The 22352-nt window shown below is 43.6% G+C and overlaps 1 long non-coding RNA gene across 1 annotated transcript, besides 3 other annotated features; it reads left to right on the forward strand.

Annotated features, from left to right (window-relative positions):
- The first annotated feature begins 242 nt into the window (after positions 1 to 242).
- On the forward strand, positions 243 to 22352 carry LOC124901979 (uncharacterized). Its single transcript, XR_007061011.1, has 2 exons — positions 243 to 3873; positions 22018 to 22352. It is a non-coding gene; the product is annotated as an uncharacterized LOC124901979 (long non-coding RNA).
- Positions 7768 to 8967: an enhancer, noted in NCBI's record as "P300/CBP strongly-dependent group 1 enhancer chr8:95036583-95037782 (GRCh37/hg19 assembly coordinates)". NCBI's record gives its function as "activates an origin of replication core promoter dependent on BRD2, BRD4, P300/CBP, MED14 and CDK7 cofactors, with strong dependence on P300/CBP, by STARR-seq in HCT116 cells {active_cell/tissue: HCT116}" and the evidence as "EXISTENCE:reporter gene assay evidence [ECO:0000049][PMID:35650434]".
- Positions 14307 to 14436: an enhancer, noted in NCBI's record as "active region_27624". NCBI's record gives its function as "activates an Ori minimal core promoter by ATAC-STARR-seq in GM12878 lymphoblastoid cells {active_cell/tissue: GM12878}" and the evidence as "EXISTENCE:reporter gene assay evidence [ECO:0000049][PMID:35858748]".
- Positions 14447 to 14576: an enhancer, noted in NCBI's record as "active region_27625". NCBI's record gives its function as "activates an Ori minimal core promoter by ATAC-STARR-seq in GM12878 lymphoblastoid cells {active_cell/tissue: GM12878}" and the evidence as "EXISTENCE:reporter gene assay evidence [ECO:0000049][PMID:35858748]".

Consider the following 22352-nt stretch of genomic DNA (forward strand, 5'->3'; position numbering starts at 1 on the left):
TCTCTCGCTCAGGCTGGAGTGCAGTGCCGTGCCATGTTCTTGGCTCACTGCAACCTCCATCTCCCAGGCTCAAGCAATCCTCCCACCTCAGCCTCCCATGTAGTTGGGGCCATAGGCGCGTGCCACCACACCTGGCTTACTTTTTGTATTTTTGGTAGAGATGGGGTTTTGCCATGCTGCCCAGACTGGTCTCAAACTCCTGAGCTCAGATGATCCACCTGCCTTGGCCTCCCAAAGTGCTGGGATTGCAGGCATGAGCCACTGCACCAAGCCTCAAATTATATTTCAATTTGACAGGTGAGTCAGTTCAAAAACCAAGATTTAAGCATTAAAGAAGCCATTAAGAATTTGGAGGTGGAGCCACCTTATTTTTCGTTAAGTTTTCAATTAAATGTTTTATGGGGGTAGAAGTTATAGGAGTATTCGTCTGCACTGTCTTTGAATCCTTTGTTATTTTCAGGCCATTCTGTTATTTCCAGGTCTTATGCCTCCTAATTCTCTTTTATGATAGTTTGTCTCTTCATATGGTTTGCAATTTTTTATTATGAGCTCATCGTTAGAAAGTTCTTTCCTCCTGAGGAGGTTCTAGGGATCTGGCAGAGGTAAATTGTCTCCACAAGGCAGTTTTATATCAATATCTACTAATGCCCCAGGGTTTTCGATGTCCCTGTGCTAATTTTTATTCAGCTGAGGGGTCTGCCCCCCAACAGATAGTATAAATTTGGCCTCTAATGTGCATGTTCAGACCTGTATTTTCAGTGGTTCTTAACTGACTTTTGGTTACTCAAAACAAGCTCAAACCAACTGCCTCTCTGGGCTACTCTTTGAGTTTCCACTTGTTATTTTTTATGACCCTTTGTCACTATTGAGCTACCATTTATTGAGTACTTACTATGTGCCAGATCTTTGGCAGACACCGTTCTATAAAGACCCCTCTGCTCTACCCACTGGGCAAATATCAGTAGGCTCCACTCATTTCTTGTACCTGTCCTTACCACTATTTTAAAGGCATTGTTTACTTCAGGCCATTATAGCCATAAGAAAAGGATTTGCTGAGAACAACTGAACCTGCACTTTGGAATTAATATATGCAGCATAACCGTTTAGCTATTTACACATGGTAGGTCATGGGGTGTAGGATGGTATATAGTGTGATTCTAATATTGACACCCAGTCATTTCCCACTAAGATTTAAGAGAAACCCTTAGTCCAGAGTTACTAGAGTCGTGTGTCATGCTATAGTCTGTCTCCATTTCCATGATTCGTGCTGCTCTACCTGGATAAAGTTTGGACTGATAGCTTTAGCATTAGAATATATGTATATGATTTGCAAAGGGTTTTTTGTTGTTCTCACTGCAGTGGTTCAACACTCAGGTACTGAAGTGCGTTAAATGATTTGCCATTTTCCAAACTCTCCATTCTTCTCAGTCTTTGCACGTGGAATTTCTCTACCTGGATTCCCACCCTAACCTTTCTGTCTGACAACCTCCTATATTCCCTTTAAGACCCAGTTCAAATGGAGCCTCATTTGTGATACCCACCCTCAGTCTCCAGCGAATCCATTCTTCCTCTCCACTCCCAAAGTGCTTTCTGCATAATCACAACAGGATTCCAAGTATTTGCAGTTATGTCTATTTCTCCCATTAAATATGAGCTCCCTTGAAGGAAGGGAATGTGTTTATCATTTCTGTATGTGTATCATTTCTGTATCTTCAGCAAGTAGAAGTACTTGGCACGTAGCAAGTGATCAAGAAATGATTGGGGGAGTAAATAAATAAAGGCTAATTGTTTCTCTTTCATCAACTGTGTTTCTATGTTTCTGGTTATTTCCACTTGTTTTTGTTATTATATAAACATGCGTAATGCAGGAAGTACTGGGGATATGTCTCTTCTACCATGTCACTGCTGATGACTTTTGCAAAATGCCCATGAATGCCTTCCACAAAACAACCTTCTGCAACTATGGTGGAGACAGTTTTATAGAATTTATCAATTTGGATGAAGGTCTCTGGCCGTTTAACTGTCTCATGCTCATGACTCATGGTTAAACTCATAAGAGCCCCTGTGATCCCAGTCAAAGGCTGGAGCAGATGAAATCTATGACACACCCCATTAAGAGCTGCTGAGTTATACACATCATTCCAGGAGGCCCTGAAGCCTAGCAGCACTTTCAGCTTCTAAATACCTCACTACACTGAACACCACTGCACACCACTCTAGCTTTCCTATGCATGGGGCACAGCTGAAAAGCTGTCAAAACGGAATGATGCCCTGGAACTCTGGAACTCTGCTGACACACTCAGAGAAACAGATGACAAGATGTGGAAGAAAGACTTGATTTTGATTTTTGCTTTATAAACTCAGCAAATTGGGCAAAACAGCAAATGTCAGGTTCTATCTCTGGTTCACTCCTGGCAAACCCATGTTTTGTGATTCTGTAATGCCTCACATGGTTATACGACTTCTTTTCCAAAATGATGTCATTTTGGAGATGGGCTTTCATCCTGATCATATAAGGGGAACAGATGTTGACTTGGTTGCACAATCCTTGCCTTTGCAAATAGGAATCAGGGTTCCATGTTTTCTTCACATTTATCTTTGTTTGGGTTATTTAATGCTGAGTCCATGCCTTGTCTACTCATCCCTCTACTGTTCTTTCTTTTCTTGATAAGACAATAATGAAAAGTGGACAAACTTAGAAACAAATATAGGCCAGACGTTAAAAAATATTTTTTTTAAGTAGACAAGCTATGAGTTATGTTGTTAGTAATATGGTTCTTTCTACATTGTTTTCTCTCTTTTCTATAGTTTGGTCTTATATTCTTAGTTACTAGGCAGAATTATAAACTCAGAGTTTGGAGGGCCTCGTACAACTTTTCTATCAGATTGTTCTCCCACTTCTGTTGGAATGCCTCCTCGACAGGCAACTTAACTATCCAGAAAAGCAATATAGTATATGAGATGTTGCTGGTCTCAGAGACAGGGGATCTAGATTTGAGTCTTGATGCTGTGATTTGCTGTTATATATTCTTACCCTCTCTGAACCCTGGTTATTTAGTTTGTGAAATGGGGCTAATAAAACATTCAGTTCAGGCTGAAGGTAGGCTAGGATAGCAGTGCCATGGAGTCAACACAGAGTAAGATGAACCAGGGTTGCTGCCAACGCCCAGCACCTGCTAAGTGACTCAGCAGAGAAGCCAGTCCCAGGAGGGCAGCCTAAAGTGTGCCTGAGGAGTGCAGAGTGACTGGGACTGAGAGGTCCCATCAGGCCAGTTGAGCAGGGATGCAGGGCGAGCCCTTCCTCAGTGGCTACTTAGGAAACAGGAGGCAATAGTAGGTGTTAAGATGATGACTCAAATTTAGACCTGCCATTTATTGTCTATGCAACTCTAGACAAGTTATTTAATATTTTTGACGGTCATTTTTCTCATCTGTGAATTGAAACAATAACATCTATTTGTGAAGTTGCTGGGAGGCTTAAAGTAATTGAGATAACAGACATCAAGCATTTAGCAAGAGGCCTAATATGTAACAAATGCTTAAAATGCTAACAAGCAGCTGAAAGGCGGCATAGTTGAGGGACATCTGTCCCTATCTGGTAGGATTTCTTCAATAAGAGGACAGATGGGGAGGGGGCAGGCTCTCCATCTGGGAAGAGCCATCTAAATACAACTACAGCACAAAGCGTAAGGTGGGCTCTGCTCTTAAGAGGGGCTATGCTGTTGAATTAGGAGTGGGTGTCAGGCTTCATTTGGGACTCCTGGGAGACTCATGGCTCTCATCCTACATTACAGGGTGCCCAAGGCTTTGCAATGGAGTGTATCATCCCAGGTTCATCTGTCGACTGGGTGAGCTTCATATATGAGCCTACAGGTGAGTCTATTGTTGACTGCAGCTGACTTAGATCCTAGAGAAAAGGTGAGGGAGCCGACACTGCCCCTAATTGCTCACAGGTGGATTGAATGAAAATACTGCTCAAGCACCTTAGCATGGCTTATAAAGCTCTCTATGACCTGGCGCCACCTCATCTCTTTGGCCATTCACCTCTTTACACTTTAAGATCTAGCAATATTCCCATCTGTACTGTGCTGATTGATGCTGCTGTAGCTATGTTCTTTCCAGTACTCCGGCCTGAAATGCTCTTCCTTCATTTCTTCATCTAGCCAACTTTCAACATTCTTCAAGGCTCAGCTGAAGAGCCACCTCCTTCAGGGTGTCCTCCCTGAGTCCCATGGGATAAAAATAGCAACCATTTATTGAGCACTTAACTGAGTTCCAGGCAAATGTAATAATTACATACTTTGTGTCATGCAAGACTTTAACAACCCTGAGGAAATAGAGCCTCTGAAAGCATGAGTAGCTTGCTCAAGGTCTGCCTTAGCAGCTAGGTTATGTTGAAGTCTGGATTTTAAACTAGGTCTGCCTAAGCCCAAAGCCAATGGTCTCTAGTCACTATGACACGCTGCCTCCTTGTCACATGCCTTCTCCTGTAGTTCCACAAACCCCTTTAAAGTCCTGTCCCATCATGTGAAATCATTACATATATAGAAATCATTAGCTTATATGTTGGCTTCCACTAACAGATGGAAACTCTTCCAGGACGAGAGTTCTAGGTACCCACTAATCCTCTTAGTCAATGCTCAGCACAGAGCATTCAGTCAGTAAAGGCTAAAGGGCATATAAACTGAATGTGTATGAAACTTTTTTTTTTTTGAGACAGAATCTCACTCTGTTGCCCTGTCTGGAGTGCAGTGGGGTAATCTCAGCTCACTGCAACCTCCACTTCCCAGGTTCAAGTGATACTCCTGCCTCAGCCTCCTGAGTGGCTGGGATTACAGGTGCCCACCACCACATCCAGCTAATTTTTGTATTTTTAGTAGAGACGGGGTTTCACTAGGCTGGCCTCAAACTCCTGACCTCAGATAATCTGCTCTCCTCGGCCTCCCAAAGTGCTGGGATTATAGGCATGAGCCACCGTGCCCAGGCTGTGAAACATTTTTAAATGGTGATGGTGAGGGACATGTGTCTGGAGAAGCTCCCCATGTAGTAGGAAATAGAAAAATATTAACAAGCAAGGTAAGTTAATGGGGAAAAGAAAGGCTTTTAAACAAAGGGTGCTAAAATAACTAATGGGGAAAAAACTTCAACAAATCTCAACCTTTATTTTACGCCACACACAAAAACTAAGATCTGTCATAGCCTTGAATACAAAAGTTACAAACATAAGCTTCTAGAAGAAAACTTAGGACTAGAAAAACTTTTGTGACTATATTTTAGGCAAAGATTGCTTAGACAAATCTTAGGGCCAAAAAAAAGCACTAAGCATAAAAGAAAAACATTGGACTTAATCAAGATCAACCATTTGTGCTCATCAAAAGACATTATTAAGAAAATAAAAGGCAAACCACACCTGAATGAGATCTTCACAATATATATATCTGATTAAAAAACACTTTTATCTAGGTAATACAGAGAACTCCTATAATTCAATAATAAAAAGACAAGCAGGCCGGGCGCAGTGGCTCACACCTGTAATCCCAGCACTTTGGGAGGCTGAGGTGGGTGGATCATGAGGTCAGGAGTTCGAGACCAGCCTGGCCAACGTGGTGAAACCCCGTCTCTACTAAAAATACAAGGTTAGCCAGGTGAGGTGGTGCGTGCCTGTAATCCCAGCTACTCAGGAGGCTGAGGCAGGAGAATCGCTGGAACCTGGGAGGTGGAGGTTGCAGTGAGCCAAGATCATGCCACTGCAGTCCAGCTTGGGTGACAGAGCAAGACTCTGTCTCAAAAAATAAAAAATAAAAATAAAATAAAAAGGGCAAGCAACCCAATGAAATAAATGGCAAAAGACTTAACAGGCATTTTACGATAGAAGATATATAAAAGGCCAATAAGCAAATGAGAGACACTCAGCTTCACTGAACAAAGACAAGACAAATTAAAACTACAATGAAACACCACTTCGTGCCCATGAAAATGGCTAAGATTAAGAAAATAGCTAGGATTCGATAATACTAAAGTTTGGCAAAGATGCAGGGCAACTGGAACTCTCCTACGTTACTGGCACAGCCATTTTGGAAAATTATTTTTCAATTTCTTGTAATGTTAGATAAACATTTTTTTCTGTTATGATACAGAAATTCCACTTCAAAATATTTACTCAAGATTAACAATAGAAAGTAGAAGGATGGTTACCAGAGGCTGGGAGGGGTGGTGGGTGTAGTTGGAGCTGGGGAAGGTGGGATGGTTAATTGGTACAAAAAAAAATAGTTAGAATGAATGAATAAGGCATAGTATTTGATAGCACAACAGGGAGCCTATAGTCAATAGTAATTCAATTGTACATTTTAAAATATCTAAAGGAGTATAATTGGATTGTTTCTAACACAAAAGATACATGCTTGAGGGGATGGATATCCCATTTTCCATGCTGTGACTATCATGCATTGCATGCCTGCATAAATAAAACATCTCATGTACCCCATAAATATATATATATATATATATATATATATATATATATATATATATATATACACACATCTACTATTAATAGGTACCCATAAGAATTAAAAATCAAAAATTATTTTAAAAAGATTAATGATAACAAAAGTTTATAAAACAATTTATCTATAGTAGCTTTATTCACAATAGCCCCAAACTTAAAACAAATTGTGGTATACATACAATGGAATCTCATTCAGCCATAGAAACAGCCTACTGATACATGCAACAACATAGATGAATCTTAGAAACATATTGAGTGAAAGAAGCCAGTCACAAAAGACTGTATGCTTTATGACTCTACCTAGATGAAATTCTGGAATAAGCAAGACTAAACTATGGAAAGAGAAATCAGAAGAATGATTGCTGCTGGTGTGGGTTCAGACTGGAAAGGGCATGAGGAAACTTTCTGGGGTGATGGAAATATTCACAGGTGTATTTATTTTAAAAACTCATAGAATTGCACTCTTAATTTTTTTTTTTCGAGACAGAATCTCGCTCTGTTGCCCAGGCTGGAGTGCACTGGTATGATCTTGGCTCACCACAACCTCTGCCTCCTGGGTTCAAGTGATTCTCCTGCCTCAGCCTCCTGAGTAGCTGGGACTACAGGCGCATGCCACCATGCCCTGCTAATTTTTGTGTTTTTAGTAGAGACAAGATTTCACTATGTTGGTAGGCTGGTCTTGAACTCCTGACCTCGTGAGCCACCTGCCTCAACCTCCCAAAGTACTGGGATTACAGGCATGAGCTGCCGTGCCTGTCCTTAAAATGTATTTTTAAAAAGTTAATTCAAAGAAAGAAATAGCATCACTGTGCTTTGTTCAGATCACACTTGATATACTGTGTTTAGGGTTTTTGTTTTGTTTTATTTGTTCGTTTTTTCTGAGACAGAGTCTTGCTCTGTCGCCCAGGCTGGAGTGCAGTGACACGATCTCAGCTCACTGAAACCTCCGCCTCCTGGGCTTCAGTAATCCTCTCACCTCAGCCTCCTTAATAGCTGGGACTACAGGTGCATGCCACCATGCCTAGCTACATTTTTTTCTTTTTTGTATTTTTTGTAGAGATGGGGTTTTACCACATTGCCCAGGCTGGTCTTGAACTCTTGAGCTCAAGCCACCCACCCGTCTGGGCCTCTCAAAGTGCTGGGATTTCAGGCATAAGCCACTGTGCCAGGCCCTGTGTTTAGTTTTTAAAACAATAAATCTAACTATGTTCAGATCAAGGTTACCAGGATGAAGAAGGGTCTGGAGACCATGATACATGAAAAAGGCAAGGAACTGGGAAAGTGCAGGATGGAGGGGAGACCAAGAAGAGTCTGTTCAATCACTGGGAGGGTAGCTGTGTGGTAGCAGGTCTAGATTTATTAGTTGAATCTCTAGAGGGCAGAATTAGGATGAGTGGGTGAAAATTATGAAGAAGAAGATTTTTCTAAACACCGGAAGATGAGGCTTTGGAGCAAAGCAGAACTTGGACAGTTCATCAGGAAGCTGCTGACAGTCTGAACAAGAGGCCTGGACCACACATGCTGTGGGGATGGAGCGGACCTTCTTGAGGGGAGAGTGGATTTGAGAAATAGCAGGAAGTAGAATTAACCTTAATTGCATATATGAGTGTGTGTGTAAGAAAGAGAGCAAAAGACAGAGATACAAGGGGGAGCAATGAATTGAGAATGACTCAATAACTAAATCCTATTTTGCCTAAGAAACTCCATTAATCACTAGTATGTGTCATATGATTATATGAATCATGATATGGTTTTTAAAATGTGAGACCTTAAAATTGTACAATTATGTCTGACTAAGCAATTGAAATGGATTTTAAAGAAAATGTGACTGAGTCACAGAACTACTGGAGACAGGAACCAGAAGCCAAACACCCACCTGTCTAACCTTTCAAGGTAACAGGATAAGCTGTTCCCATTCAGTCCCCATCCCATCACCCTATTTTAGTTTCCTGCACTTCCCCCATCTGATATTTTCCTGTTTCCTATTTTATATTGTCTGTTTCTATCTACTGGAATATGAGCTCTTAGGAGCAAGGACATTGTGATCTTATTCACTGCTATGTGCTCCGGCTCCTAGAATACTGCCCAGCACAATCAATAATTGAGGACTGAATGGAGGTTTAAGGCACCTCTCATTTGGTGATGGTTTACTGGTCAGTGGGTAAAGAGGAATGGCAGAAACAGTTGCCGGCATATGTAAGCCATTCACAGAAGTTGTGGTGAGCATTTTACATGTTCATTTCCTTAAGCTCAACAATCTCATTTCCTTTCCTTTTACATGTTCATTTCCTTAAGCTCACCTTGTATGCAGTGACACAGGGCCCCCTGACCTCACTTCTTGCTCCCACTGCTGCTGCTGAAACAGATTCCAGACAGGGTTTGATGTAGATTGCAGCTGCAAGAGCACCTCTCTTTTCCTGTCTGGGGCTCCTCTGACATCAGGGCATGAGATGCCCACAGGAGCCTGCTGGGCACTTTTGCATGTGCAGCCCAGAAATGGGGACTATGGGGACACTCTTGATCAAAAGGGCACAGGACTCAATGGACAAATGCTTCTCTCTTTAGTAATGGGGTCTGGAAGATCTGAGACTCATTGTATGAGGCTCCTCAGAAAGTTCTGATAAGATCAGGCACCGCTCCCCCTGTAGCAGGGGCCAGCTTGAGAATGCATCCTGGCATTGACTTTCCCTCTTGCCCAGCTCCTAGTTCCTCTTCGCTCTTCCTCACCCCTCCCTGGGTCCATTTCCCAAATAAACCACTACATGTAGGCATTTGTCTCAGGCTCTGCTTCCCGAAGAACTCAGGCTAAGACAGCAACCTAATTTCATTACTTGAATCTAAAAATGCTTTCTTGTTGTAGAAAACCCACCTATATACAGGTCAAAATCCTCTGGCTCCAAGAAGAATGCATTAAATCCTACCATGCCCTTTAAATCACTGGTCCCTTGGAAGTTGTTGAATGAGGCAAACTGGATGAGTGGATCTGGACATGTGGCTCTCAGGTAAAAGCAGTTATCTTAGGGGTCTCCAGCTACCATCTAATGGGTAATGATCCTACCTGAGATGGGCAGGAGCTGAGGAGCCCGGGAGCCGACTCAATGATCAGGTGTGAAGGGTGAGTGCAAGGCTGGGGTGTAGGTTGAGGTAAGAGGCCATGAGGCAAAGCTCTGAGGTCACTGTCACAGCGGGGACTGGGGTGCAAGGTAGCCTGACGTGGAATGGTTCAAGGCAAAGATTGTGAAGAAATCCAGGACACAGAGAACAAGCTGTCGTTGGATGCTGGCCCTAGGTGGCATGTAGACCAGGGGCTAGAAGGTAACTGCTAGGCTGAATGAGTGGGTCGCATGGAGATTTCTCAACTTCCAGGCAGCGCTCCATACCCACAGCAACCCAAATAAGCAGAATCTTTGGTGAGAGGAAGCAAAGAAGGCCCTGGGGCTAGAGACAGAGGACAGAGAGTAATCAGCCAAGTTTCCTCCTCTCTGTTAGGGTCTGGACCTCCTTCCCTGGCTATTTGCTTCTTCCCTTTTTATTGAGGTAAAATTAATATAACATAAAATTAATTAAAGTGTGTAATTCAGTGGCATTTAGTCCATTTGCTTTATTGTGTAACTACCACCTCTATCTAATTCCAAAACATGTTCCTTACCCTGCAAGGAAATCTTGTATCCACTCAGCAGTCATTCCCCATTCCCCTACCCCTTCCCCAGTCTCTGGTAACCTCTAATCTGCTTTCTGTCTCTATGGATTTACCAATTCTGGGTGTTTCATATAAATAGAATCATACAACATGTGTCTGGCTTTGTTCACAAAGCATAATGTTTTCAAGATTCATCCATGTTGTGGCACATATCAGAATGTCATTCCTTTTTTTTTTTGAGATGGAGTTTTGCTCCGTTGCCCAGGCTAGAGTGCAATGGCGCAATCTCGGCTCACTGCAACCTCCGCCTCCTGGGTTCAAGTGATTCTCCTGCCACAGCGTCCTGAGTAGCTGGGATTACAGGCACCCACGACCACACCTGGCTAATTTTTTGTATTTTTAGTGGAGACAGGATTTCACCATGTTGGCCAGGCTGGTCTTGAATTCCTGACCTCAGGTGATCCACCCACCTCAGCCTCCCAAAGTGCTGGGATTACAGGCATGAGCCACCACGCCCAACCCAATGTCATTCCTTTTTAAGGCTGAGTAATATTCCATTGTATAGACATACCACATTTTGTTTACCTATTCATTAGTTGACAGAAACTTGAGTTGTTTCTACCTTTTGGCTATTGTGAACAGTGCTGCTATGAACATTTGTGTGTAAGTTTGTGTTTGAGTCCCGGCTTTCAGTTCTTTTGGGTATATATCTAGGAGTGTAACTGCTCACCATCCATTTTTTATGTGTGCTCCTTTTACCAATGTGCTTGTTTGCACCCCCAAGACTCTCTGCCAACTGACTCACTAAGAAGGTCAATAACCTTTTTGAACTACAGCTCCATGAAAGGAATTAGGGCTGCCACTTAGTAGGTTGGTGCAATTAAATTGCGGTTTTTGCCATTAAAATTAATGGAAAAATTGCAAATACTTTTGCACCCACTAATAAATACATACGACTTGGCCAAAGCTAAAGAGGTTGACTTCTGGAAGAAGACTGTGAGGAGTTGACCTAAGTGTTTCATTTGTCTCCCTTCTCCACACAATAAAGATCTCAGCCTTGGATGGATTCAGCTGTGAGTGAGCGCTGGTGTGTATGTCCTCGTGATCACAGATGCATAGATTTCAGTACGTTGATGTCACAAATACATAGATTTCAGTACATCGATAAATCATTTCAAAAGGGCGGTGTCCCTGTGCCCTCATTTTCATATCCCCTTGTGGAAAGTCTTTCAGCGTACAGTTGGTTATTCATATTTGTTGCCATGTAAGCACTATCTAGGACAAATTTTTAAAAAATAGAAAAACAGAGGGGAAAAAATAGAAAGGACTTGACACTAGCCAAGCTTAAGGCCAGTTATCTGCATTAAAACATACTACTTGTGCTGTGACAGTCTAGGTTGGATGGAAGCCTTTCTGTTTTCTATTGTTGGAATGCCCTCTAGACTAGATTTGGAAATGTTTCACTGTGGTGGTTATAAGACATCAAGTCATGGCTGGCTTTGATTAGAACTTGTCCTAAGAAATAAATGCCGTTTTAAGCAACAAACATCCCAGAGTTCTCTTTCAGCAAGCTGTTCTGTTTTGGAAAGTTGACCATGTGTGTCTGAGTACGTAATATGTTTGTGGGGAACAACCTGTGGTCAAGATGGAGACAAGAAATACTAATTCAAAGCAATGTGCATAGGGATATACAATGTATTAAGAATATTTATGGGCAGTTGGATCTGCTTCCCTCCCACCTTGACCTCTTACTTCAGCTCCTGAGCTATTACTGTGAGTGCAGCAGCGCCGCTGCAGCGGGAGGGTTTCCCACTTCCTCTGCTGCATCTCCCGGCTGCTGCGAGCGCTCACATCCCTCCCCGGCTGCCCGCGACTCAGATTTTCCATTGTGGAGGTCACTGACAGTGGAGCAATTAAACAGAAGCGGAATAGCTGAGATATTTAAGTTTCTGTCCATAAATCTTGGTGGGAACCTTACAAGGGCCTTGCTTTAATTATTTTCTTTCAGAATCCCGAGATCAACAGGAACAACCCTTTGGGAGCCAGCTTGCTATTTGGATTTTTAACTCCCCTCATCAGTCTTACCAAGTGTTTTAACTGGTGATGGTTTTCATTAGAAAGCTCAATTTGCATCTTGAGGTTTCATGCATATTTTAGTAATGTATGCAGAAGGAAAATGGCAAAGAGGCATCTAGAATTTTAGCTTCCAGAATTAAAAAAAATTAGTAAACATTACTAGGAAAACTCTTAAGTTTTAAATTCGGTGGTTTCAAACAAAGCTTCTCTTCTCATCTTCACAAAAATAGTGTCCTTCGGTACCTAATAGTCTATAAAGTGCCTTCATCTACCTGGCATCGTGAGGTATCATCGTCTTCCAAACATTATTTGTGTTATAACCCACGTCTTACAGATGACAAAATGGAGGATCAGGAGAAAGCTGAGCATGGTGGTTTACAGCATGGACTCCGAAGTAAAGGAAACTAGGATTGAATCCTGGCTCCACCTCCGTCAGATTACTTGATCTGTCTTTGCTCAGCTTCCATATCTATAAAATGGAACTAATGAAACCTTAGTAATTAGGTCTTATGGTTGCCGAAAGAATTAAGTGAGTTTATATATATGTTAACTTAGTAAGAAACATTCACAAGGAGTCCTTCAGATCTCTCTCCCATGGGTTTTAAGGTTTTAAGTCCCCTGGCCTTCTACTCTTAGGGTGGGCTCCATCTGTTAATGCCCAAAGTAAGGCAGCAGAATTGGCTCATGCAATCAACCACATATGGAGGCCATCTAATTGGAAATTTTTCATCAAACTCTGTTTTCTCTTTGCTAAAATGGTGCTAAGAATAGTCTCAATATCATAGAGATGTCATAAGGATCACGTGAGGCTCACATGCATAGTGCCTGGCATATGATATTTAATGCATGTTATTAACTGCTATTATTATTACTAATATAATATTTAATATCAATTATTATTTTACTATCACCTAACCTTTCAAAACTATACCAATTTCCTTTCCATTCTATTCTTATCAAAGAAAGAAAAGAAAAAAATTATCTGTCCCTACTTTTCATAAGAAGAATTTATAAGAACTCTTTAACCACATCTACTTATTTTCTGTCTGCAGACTCAACTACTGTCTTCACTATGCCATTACATTGCCGCCCATGTACTAGCACGCAAAGCACCTGGAATCACATCAGGAGGCCTATTTCCTGATCCCTAATCCAGCAGTAATTTACTGTGTGACCTTAAGCAAATCACTTGGCATTTCAATTCCCCAGTTTCTTCATCTGTTAAAAGCAACATGATCGAACTAAAGTCTCTTTTACTGCTAAAATCACGTGTGTAAAATCTCTCCATATGTATAGCCATATATTTATCTCTCCATCATAAATATTTTTATTATTTAAAGCCACTTTGTAATTAGCTCAGTAAAATCTTTATTTCTATTTTCCTATGAGGTAGCACACAGCGTCCTGCAGGGAGTTACCAGCAGAGACAGAATTAGAAAGTGCAGACCTTGGCCTTCAGTCTCTGATTTAGCTCAGATCCCATCCCTGCTTAATCATCCAAACCTAACATTCTACTAAAGAACTCGCTGGACCTGTGGGAGTGCTCAGAGGTGTGAGGGGAGTGGTGCTCCACCTTTCTCAGTTCTCAGGGATGCTCTTGTCATTCTTTTATCCAAATGTCCCTGCATTACTTTGCGTCAGACATTTTTCAAAAATAGCTCAAAACTTCTCAAAAGTATTTTCAATAGCTCTCAAAAATATGTATCTTAATTTACACATATGTACATGTAGGAAGGTGAAAAAAGTGGTAGGAAGGTGAAAAAAGTGGTAGGAAGGTGAAAAAATGTTAAATTCTGTCTGACTTGTAGCAATATGACATTTGATACCTTTAGTGCCTTTAAAATGCATACATTTGGAAGCTACAATGTATTGTTCCCCTGTGGCCAAGAGTCCAGATTTCCCTTTATTCTTCATGCTTAGGTTTTTATTAATAGAAGCCTGATAAGTCTCGTCTTTATAATATTGGCAAGGCTTTAAAAGCTTGACCAAGGGCTTTTAAGATTTGATGGGACTTTGGGTAAAAACACAGACTTGTGTTTAGGGAAATACAATGATTTCTCAGAATCCATCTTATCCAAAGGGGAATTCTTGGCCTAAACTTCTGGCAGGGTCATTGTGAATTCATTCACAAAGGGCCTGATAGCCTGGGAGAGACAGAGGTCTGCATACACCTTGGAAAACCCCTGGGGCTTTTGGACACAGCACAGGTTTCTCCTCTGTTCCCCACCTTGTGTCAGGCCACTCAACCTCAACATGCTGGCGGGTCACGTAATTATAATGCTGCCTTCCTCTGTGGATTGAGTGGGTATGTGTGTGATGCGGGGGTCAGGGGGCAGCAGGGCTTGTGCTGAGCACACTTACTTCCTTCTCTTTATTTTATGTAGTATCAGTGTATCTCAAACATAGCATGAAGACAACTGGTATTTTACAAGATCATTTTAGGTGACGTTTGGATAAACACTTTATATATTAATAATATACATTTTAAAATGAATATTAGAAAATATTTGGCCTTTGAGGGAGGCACTATTATAATTCCCACTTAAAAAAAAATTTATTTAGAGATGGGGTCTCAGTCTCTTGCCAAGGCTGGAGTGCAGTGGTGTCATCATAGCTCACTGCAGCCTCGAACTCCTGAGCTCAAGTGATCCTTCTGCTTCAGCCTCCTGAGTAGCTCAGACTAAAAATTAGCCACTACACCTGGCTAATTTTTTTATTTTTTGTAGAGATGGGGTCTTGCATTGTTGCCCAGGCTGGCCTTAAACTCCTGGCCTCAAGTCATCCTTCCCTACCTCAACCTCTCAAAGTGCTGGGATTACCGACATGAGCCACCTGCCGAGCCAATCCCTATTTAAATATGTGCTGGGTGTGGTGTGCCAGCACTTTGGGAGGTTGAGGCAGGAGGATCACTTGAGCTCAGGAGTTCGAGACCAGCCTGGGCAACATGGTGACACCCCATCTCTACTAAAAATATAAAGAAATAGCCAGACATGGTGGCACACACCTGGGGTCCCAGCTACTGAAGAGTTTGAGTGGGAGGATCACTTGAGCCAGGGAGGTGGAGGTTGCAGTAAGCCATGATTGTACCACTGCACTCCAGTCTGGGCAACAGAGTGAGACCCCGTCTTAAAAAATAGATAAATAAATAAGAAAGCTCGGGCACAGAGAGGTTATACAGAAGTTAGCTAACATACCCAAGCTTCCTCAGCTACACAATACTCTCATAGAAGGCAGAAGGCAAGCTGCCTAAATGCTGCAAGAAGCCTCTTTTAAAAGGGTCTTAATCCCATTAAGGAGGGAGTAGGCCTCATGCCCTAATCACCTCTTAAAGGCATCACCTCTTAATACTATCACATTGGCAACACCTGAATTTTGGAGGGGACACATTCAAACCATAGTGATAAGGAATGCAGATATGGCCCAAATCAGGAAGGTGGCATCTTTTAATGATGTTATCCATGTTTAGGAGCATGTTTTGATCACTGAAATAGCCAAGTCCCCTCTGATGAGATCTTCTCCCTGTGTTGTCTTCACTGATAAAGCAGCCACTCAATGGTAGCCTTGATGACCCTGTGGTTGAAGAGGGCAATGATGGTAGCTGCCAGGCCACAGTCCACCCAGGACTGCTCTTCTCACCTCCCACCTCAGGGTCACCAGAAGAATTCAAGAAGCACTTGACTTTCCTCCTGCAAGTTAAAGTAGAAGTTGTCCCGTCAGCATTTTCCCTTTCTGCTGTGGCTGGGCTCCCCCAGGGCAGCAACTGACCTGTTTTTCCCACAGAACGCCTGCCACAGGTGAGGAGTTCTCCAGCCAGCAATTTAGTAAGTAGCAACATTGAGGGGCGGTGGGGGCAAATGGAAGAGGCTGCGTGGGAGACTAGGCTTTCACCTGCTGCTTCTCAGGCTCTCCTGGCACCAGAGAGCGCTGGGGAAAGCAAGGAGGAAGCTGAAGGGCCAGAGCAGGGGGACAAGGTAAGACGGACCCAACAGTTTCACTTGCAGAGGAATGTGGAGTGGTGATGCTCATGGTCAGGGATCTTCCTCTCCCCTCTTCTCTCCTTTCCTTTCCTTTTTGCTTTTTGAGACAGGGTCTCACTCTGTCACCCAAGCTGGAGTGCAGTAGTGCCATCGTGGCTCACTGCAGCCTCGAACTCTTGGGTTCAAGTGATCCTCCCACCTCAGACTCACGAGTAGCTAGGACCACAGGCATGCACCACCATGCCCAGCTAATTTTGTTTATGTTTTGTAGAGACAGGCTCTCCTTATATTGCCCAGGTTTGTCTCGAACTCCTGGACTCAAGCAGTCCTCCCGCCTTGGCCTCCCAAATTATTGGGATTACAGTCGTGAGGCACTGCTCCCAGCCTGGGATGTTTTTTTAAATAATTGGGAAGAAGTTTGTAGTAGCTTGTTGCAGCTAATTTGTTTTTATCAGAACTAATATGTTTTCTCTCAAGGCCAGTAAGTGGAAAGGGCCACTTCTTCCTGCTGCCCACCTTCAACAATTCTATTCCTTTACTAAGTGGGAAATAACAATGACACTAATGATGATGAGGCACCATTTATTGAGCGTGGTACTAAACATGTTACCAATATCACCTTCATCATCATATTAATGCCACACTTTATAGAAAAGGACACCGAGGCTTAGAGAAGTTTAGTGACCTGTCCAAGGTCACACAGCACAGCCAGTAAGTGGTGGGGCTAGGATAGGAATCCAAGTGGTCTGACCACAGCCTAGTGCTCTTTCATCACACCACGACTGCCTCTGGTTGGATACTGTCGTTTTCCACCCTGTGTGAAATGTTGTTTTGTTGTAGTTTTAAGCAATGAAAATCAGAAGGTTGGCGGGGCATGGTGGCTCACACCTGTAATCCTAGCACTATAGGAGGCCAAGGCGGGAAGATCAATTGAGGTCAGGAGTTCGAGACCAGCCTGGCCAATATGGTGAAACCCTGTCTCTAGTAAAAATACAAAATTAGCTGGGCGTGGTGGTACACACCTGTAATCCCAGCTACTCGGAAGGCTGAGGCAGGAGAAGCACTTGAACCTGGGAGGTGGGGGTTGCAGATTGCACCACTGCACTCCGGCCTGGGCGATAGAGCAAGACTCTGTCTCAAAAATTTAAAAAAGAAAATCAGGAAGTAAATACATGAGTATGCGTGAGAATGTCAGGCCGGAGCATCACAGAGTGCCATGAATGGAATGCAAGTGAGCTTGTGAGTGCGGCTGCCATGCAAGGGAGAGGCTGGGCAGGGAGATGGATGACGTTGGGATAGATCCCACATGGAGCTTTCAAGGTCAGTGCAGATGGCCTGTTAGCCCTCTGAGGTAGAACCCCGGGCACAAAGACCCAGGCATTTTCCATCACACTTGGACACCATCTCACATGTGACCACCATGAACCTTTCCTGGCTTTGGGATCCCCCATTCACCTAGGAAAAACATGTCTGCCAGCAATCAAAAGATGGGCTTTCCTGCCGTCAATGCCAGTGAGTATGTGAATAAATGCAGAGCAGAGAACTGGGGGTCACACAGAACCCCACCTCCTACAACGCCCACTGCCATGTACTAGTTGATAGACCTAGAGAGAGGTACCTCTCCTTTCTGTGCCTGTTTTTGCGTCAATTAAATGGGGGTAATAACACCCGTCACAGTGGGATAGTTTGAGCATTAGCATTTAGATGAGAAAACCTGTAATAACAGTGTGGCAAACCTATAGCAGACCATGAATAAGCTGTAGCCATTGTTGTTGACAATGGATGGGACAAGGTCCTCATGATGTGGAAAGGAATGTCTAGAGCCCGTTAGAGGCTCTTCCTAGGAAAGGTGGGGAACGAGTTTTCCGCTGAGTAGGGCAGGAGCAAGGGAAGGACTGATGTGATGCAAGGGAGGCTGGCGACCTTGAGCAGACTCTCCTTCCAGTCTCATCCCCAAATCTAACTTGCTGCCACATAATCAGTCATTGATCTCATGGTGCTGGGAAAAGAGTGGCAAAGTGGAAGAATAAAAACCTTCCAGGAATTAGTCTCTTTTTACTCTCTTTTTTCATATTGCTTCTGTTCTTTAGAAAAATTCAAAATAAAAAGTCGAAATTCACATCTGGGGCTTCACACAGTAGATGCAAATCCACTCTGCTGAGGACAGCATATGCCTATATGTTTTGCTGAAATTTCAGTCGTTCCCGTGGCTGTTTCAGCACTTGAGCTGGTTCTCAGAAGATCCTGCTGTGGAGCAGTGTGCTGTTAACCACCAGCAGCACGGTCTTTGCCTCAGACTCCTTGGTCAGCAAAGTAGAGCAAAGGTAATGTGATCTGGTGAATAAGAAACAGCTCGAGATGAAAGGAATGAACATTTTCAGAATGCCTTGGCTATAGGGAGTCACGTGCCCTCTTTCGAAGAGTCTGTGCTCTTTGTTGGTCTCTGGCCTCTCCCTGGGTGGGACAATACACTGGCCACACAGGCTGCTAGGAGTGGAGGAATGATCTTTGCCACAATCTCTTATTTCCTAGGGCAGACACACAGATATCTGAAAATGCCCGACTTGGTGAGCATGCTTCCAGCTGCTGGTGACAGCCTGGAGTGCAACCTTGTACTCTAGGGTCCAAGGAGAGGGAGCCTTGAAAGCCACTGGCAGATGGCAAACATGTCTAAGGCATCTTCACCCATCACCTCTGGGAGGAAGCAGTGTGGATGGAGGCCCTTTGGACAGAACAAGTGGGCCTGTCATACCAGGGAGAAGTGGGTCCTTCCTGCCATTTCCTCTTTGTCTCATTTTAGAGAAGAGAATGGCATTCAGCCTTCGTAAACTTCATATTTTCTTTTTCTTACAATATCTGTGTTAAAGGTGTTGCCTGTTGTCAATCTAAAAGTTTAGGAGCCTGTCAGGCACGGTGGCTCACGCCTGTAATCCCAGCACTTTGGGAGACCGAGGCGGGCAGATCACGAGTTCAGGAGATTGAGACAATCCTGGCTAACACGGTGAAATCCCGTCTCTACTAAAAATACAAAAAAATTAGCCAGGCATGGTGGCGGGTGCCTGTAGTCCCAGCTACTTGGGAGGCTGAGGCAGGAGAATCGCTTGAACCCAGGAGGTGGAGGTTGCAGCGAGCCGAGATTGCACCACTGCACTCCAGCCCAGTGACAGTGCGAGACTCTGTCTCAAAAAAAAAAAAAAAGTTTAGGAGCCTGCACTGAGACTTTTTTAAAAAAATAAATCTTAGCAAGAAGTGATGTGGCATAACATGGTAACGCACATCAATTGATTCAATCACCCACGGAAACCTCCCACTGGCATCAGGAAGCAATTTGTACTCAGGGAGGGCTATGAGTCACTGGGAGTCATGGACCATGTCACTTAATAGAATTCCTCTTTTTTGGAGCCCATCACCTTATTAACAGGAAAGGCATTTGACTGGGTGTCTGTGTTTCTCCCTCGACAGAGATTACATCCAGCTCCCCATCATCCCAGCTAAAGAAATGCAGCCGTGGTGTGGACAATCGAAAGTGGCAAATAATTTAAAACTGTGTGTGCCTTTTGCTTTCTAACTTTGAGTGTTTTGGGGGAGGGCATGGGAGTAGGGTTAAGAGTTTCTGAATTACACATTTTCCTTTCCAATATTAAAAATAGGTTAGTATGCACCTTCAGTGCAATCCTAGTGACCCCAGGGAAGGAGAACTTGAGAATGCCCTTGAGGCTGGTGCGGTGTGGAGTCACTTCTGCTGGAAACCTCCAAAGCAGATGCAGCTCAATCTTTCAATAATGGGGGTGGATGTCTTTTGTTTTAGCCTGCCCACCATCCTTTCCTTCTTCTTAAGTTAGCAGAGCCCCTCTTTCCTGCAGAAGACCCATTTCGTGGAGCTCTGGGCCTACTACTATCCCTGTCCCACTTGTCACGTGATCAGCTCAGGGTTGGGGACTGGGCCCCAGCCACGCCAAACAGGGTTATCCCAGGGAGTTTTCTGCTGGTGTGTAGCTAATCCGGTGAAGTGTGGCTCCTGGTCTCCTGGAAGCCACCTACCTGAGAGGAGAGCTGGAACCCCAACCACCTCACTTGGGTCTTGATCCAGGGGTGGCTGAAGTTGTAAATCCTTTTGGATTTTTACAGTTATGTAGACCAATAAGTTCTCCCCTTTTTCTTTAACTAGCTTGCTTTGGGTTTCTGTCACTTGACCAAGGGTCCTGGCAACATATCACCCTTCTGAGCTTCGTGTCTGTGGTGGGGAGATTTGTAAGTACTTTCTGGCTGGGTGTGGTGGCTCACACCTGTAATCCCAGCAGTTTGGGAGGCCGAGGCGGGTGGATCACCTGAGGCCAGGAGTTCGAGACCAGCCTGGCCAACATGGTGAAACCCCATCTCTACTAAAAATACAAAATTAGCTGGGCGTGGTGATGCATACTTGCAGTCCCAGCTACTCAGGTGGCTGAGGCAGGAGAATTGCTTGAACCCAGGAGGCAGAGGTTTCAGCAAGCTGAGATTATACCACAGCACTCCAGCCTGGGTGACAGAGAGAGACTCCATCTAAAAAAAAAGTACTTTCTAAGTGTCCCTTCCTCCAAAGCCTCCATCACCTTCCCTGTACCCTCCTCTATTTCCGTCACTCTTGGCTTATCCATTAATGGAGGGCATTTAGGGAGAGATAATTTTGTGCTTCTACTCTTCAGTTTTTTCTAGGTCAGCAACAACTGCCCACTGCTGTGGGCTAGGCTGGCCTGCTCTACACTGTGACCATCACAGGTGCCAATGACATAATATAAATATCAAAGTCATCATTATTATGAAATAGCATTTACATAGCTTACAAAGCACAGTCAACTCTTATTTTCTTGCTCCTTCAACCTGTTCCAGAAAGTTAGTATAGAAAGCAGATTGCAAACAGATAACTAGGATGTTTTTGATAAGTGAATAATTTGTTCCTCTTGAATAAGAGGTAACTTCAGCTAAATATGTCTTATAAGAAAACTGCCTTAGAGATTGCAGGGACTGGGGAAAATTAAACATTGCTTGTCTCCACTATCACCATTTCTCTGTAGTTGCAATATTGGAATAAACATGAGATGTGCTGAACACCCATTATGATATGTTGGAAGGAGCACTTGCCTGAGAGTCAGACGTCTGGGGCCTGAGCCTGGTTCTGCTATAAGGAAACAGTACAGCTTCGGGAAGCTCACTGTTGATTCTCTGAGTTAAATTTTCCTTATCTGTAAAGAAAATAAGGTGCACTAAAATTTCCTCTTGCTCCAAATCCTAGTGACTTTAGTCTTGTAGCAGAAAATATACCACCAAAGTGCAGGATGCTGCTATGGTAGAGGGGGTGAGTAGGCACGACAGAGGCATACAAAGTTCACACCCATGCTTTGGTGAGGGTGGGACCTGGCGTTTTGAGGAAGATTATGCTATTTCCAACCTCTATTTCCTTTCACATATCCATCCACCAGGAATATCCTTCCCCTATCTCATCTCTGACTACCTGGTAAGCTCCTATGCATGCTTCAAGACCTCTTGTTCAGGTACCACCCTCCCTGTTAGGTCACCTGGAGTTGCTGATTCCCTCCCCAGAGTTAAGACCATCCACTTATCATCCACTTACCTATTAATCTATTACTATGGGCTGATTTGTGTACCCACATATTCATATGTGAAGCCTTAACTCCCAATGTGATGGTCTTTGGAGACAGGGCCTTTGGGAGTTCATTAGGTTTAGATGAAGTTGAGAGTGGAGCCTTGGTCCTGTGGGATTAGCCCTTATAAGAAGGGACACTAGTGAACTCACTCTGTCTCTCTGTCTTATGAAGACACAGCAAGAAGGCAGCTGTCTGCAAGCAAGGAAGAGGACCCTCACCAGAACCTTACAATACAGGCACTCTGACCTTGGATTTCCATCCTCCAGAACCCAAAGAAAATTAATTTCTGTTGTTTAAACCACCCAGTCTATGGTATTTTTGCTACAGCGCCCCAAGCTGATTAAGACATCTGTTCATGGGCTGCCTCTCCTACCACGCTGTGAGGACCTTTGGGATGCAGCTCCAGCTCAGTTAACTCTGCATCCTCAGAGGCGCACTCAGTACCTGGCGTCTAGTAGATGCTCAATAAATATGTCTACAGTAAATGAATAAATACATGGCTATCA

The sequence above is a fragment of the Homo sapiens genome, chromosome 8 (assembly GCF_000001405.40).
Source record: "Homo sapiens chromosome 8, GRCh38.p14 Primary Assembly".
Classification (NCBI taxonomy): Eukaryota; Metazoa; Chordata; class Mammalia; order Primates; family Hominidae; genus Homo; species Homo sapiens.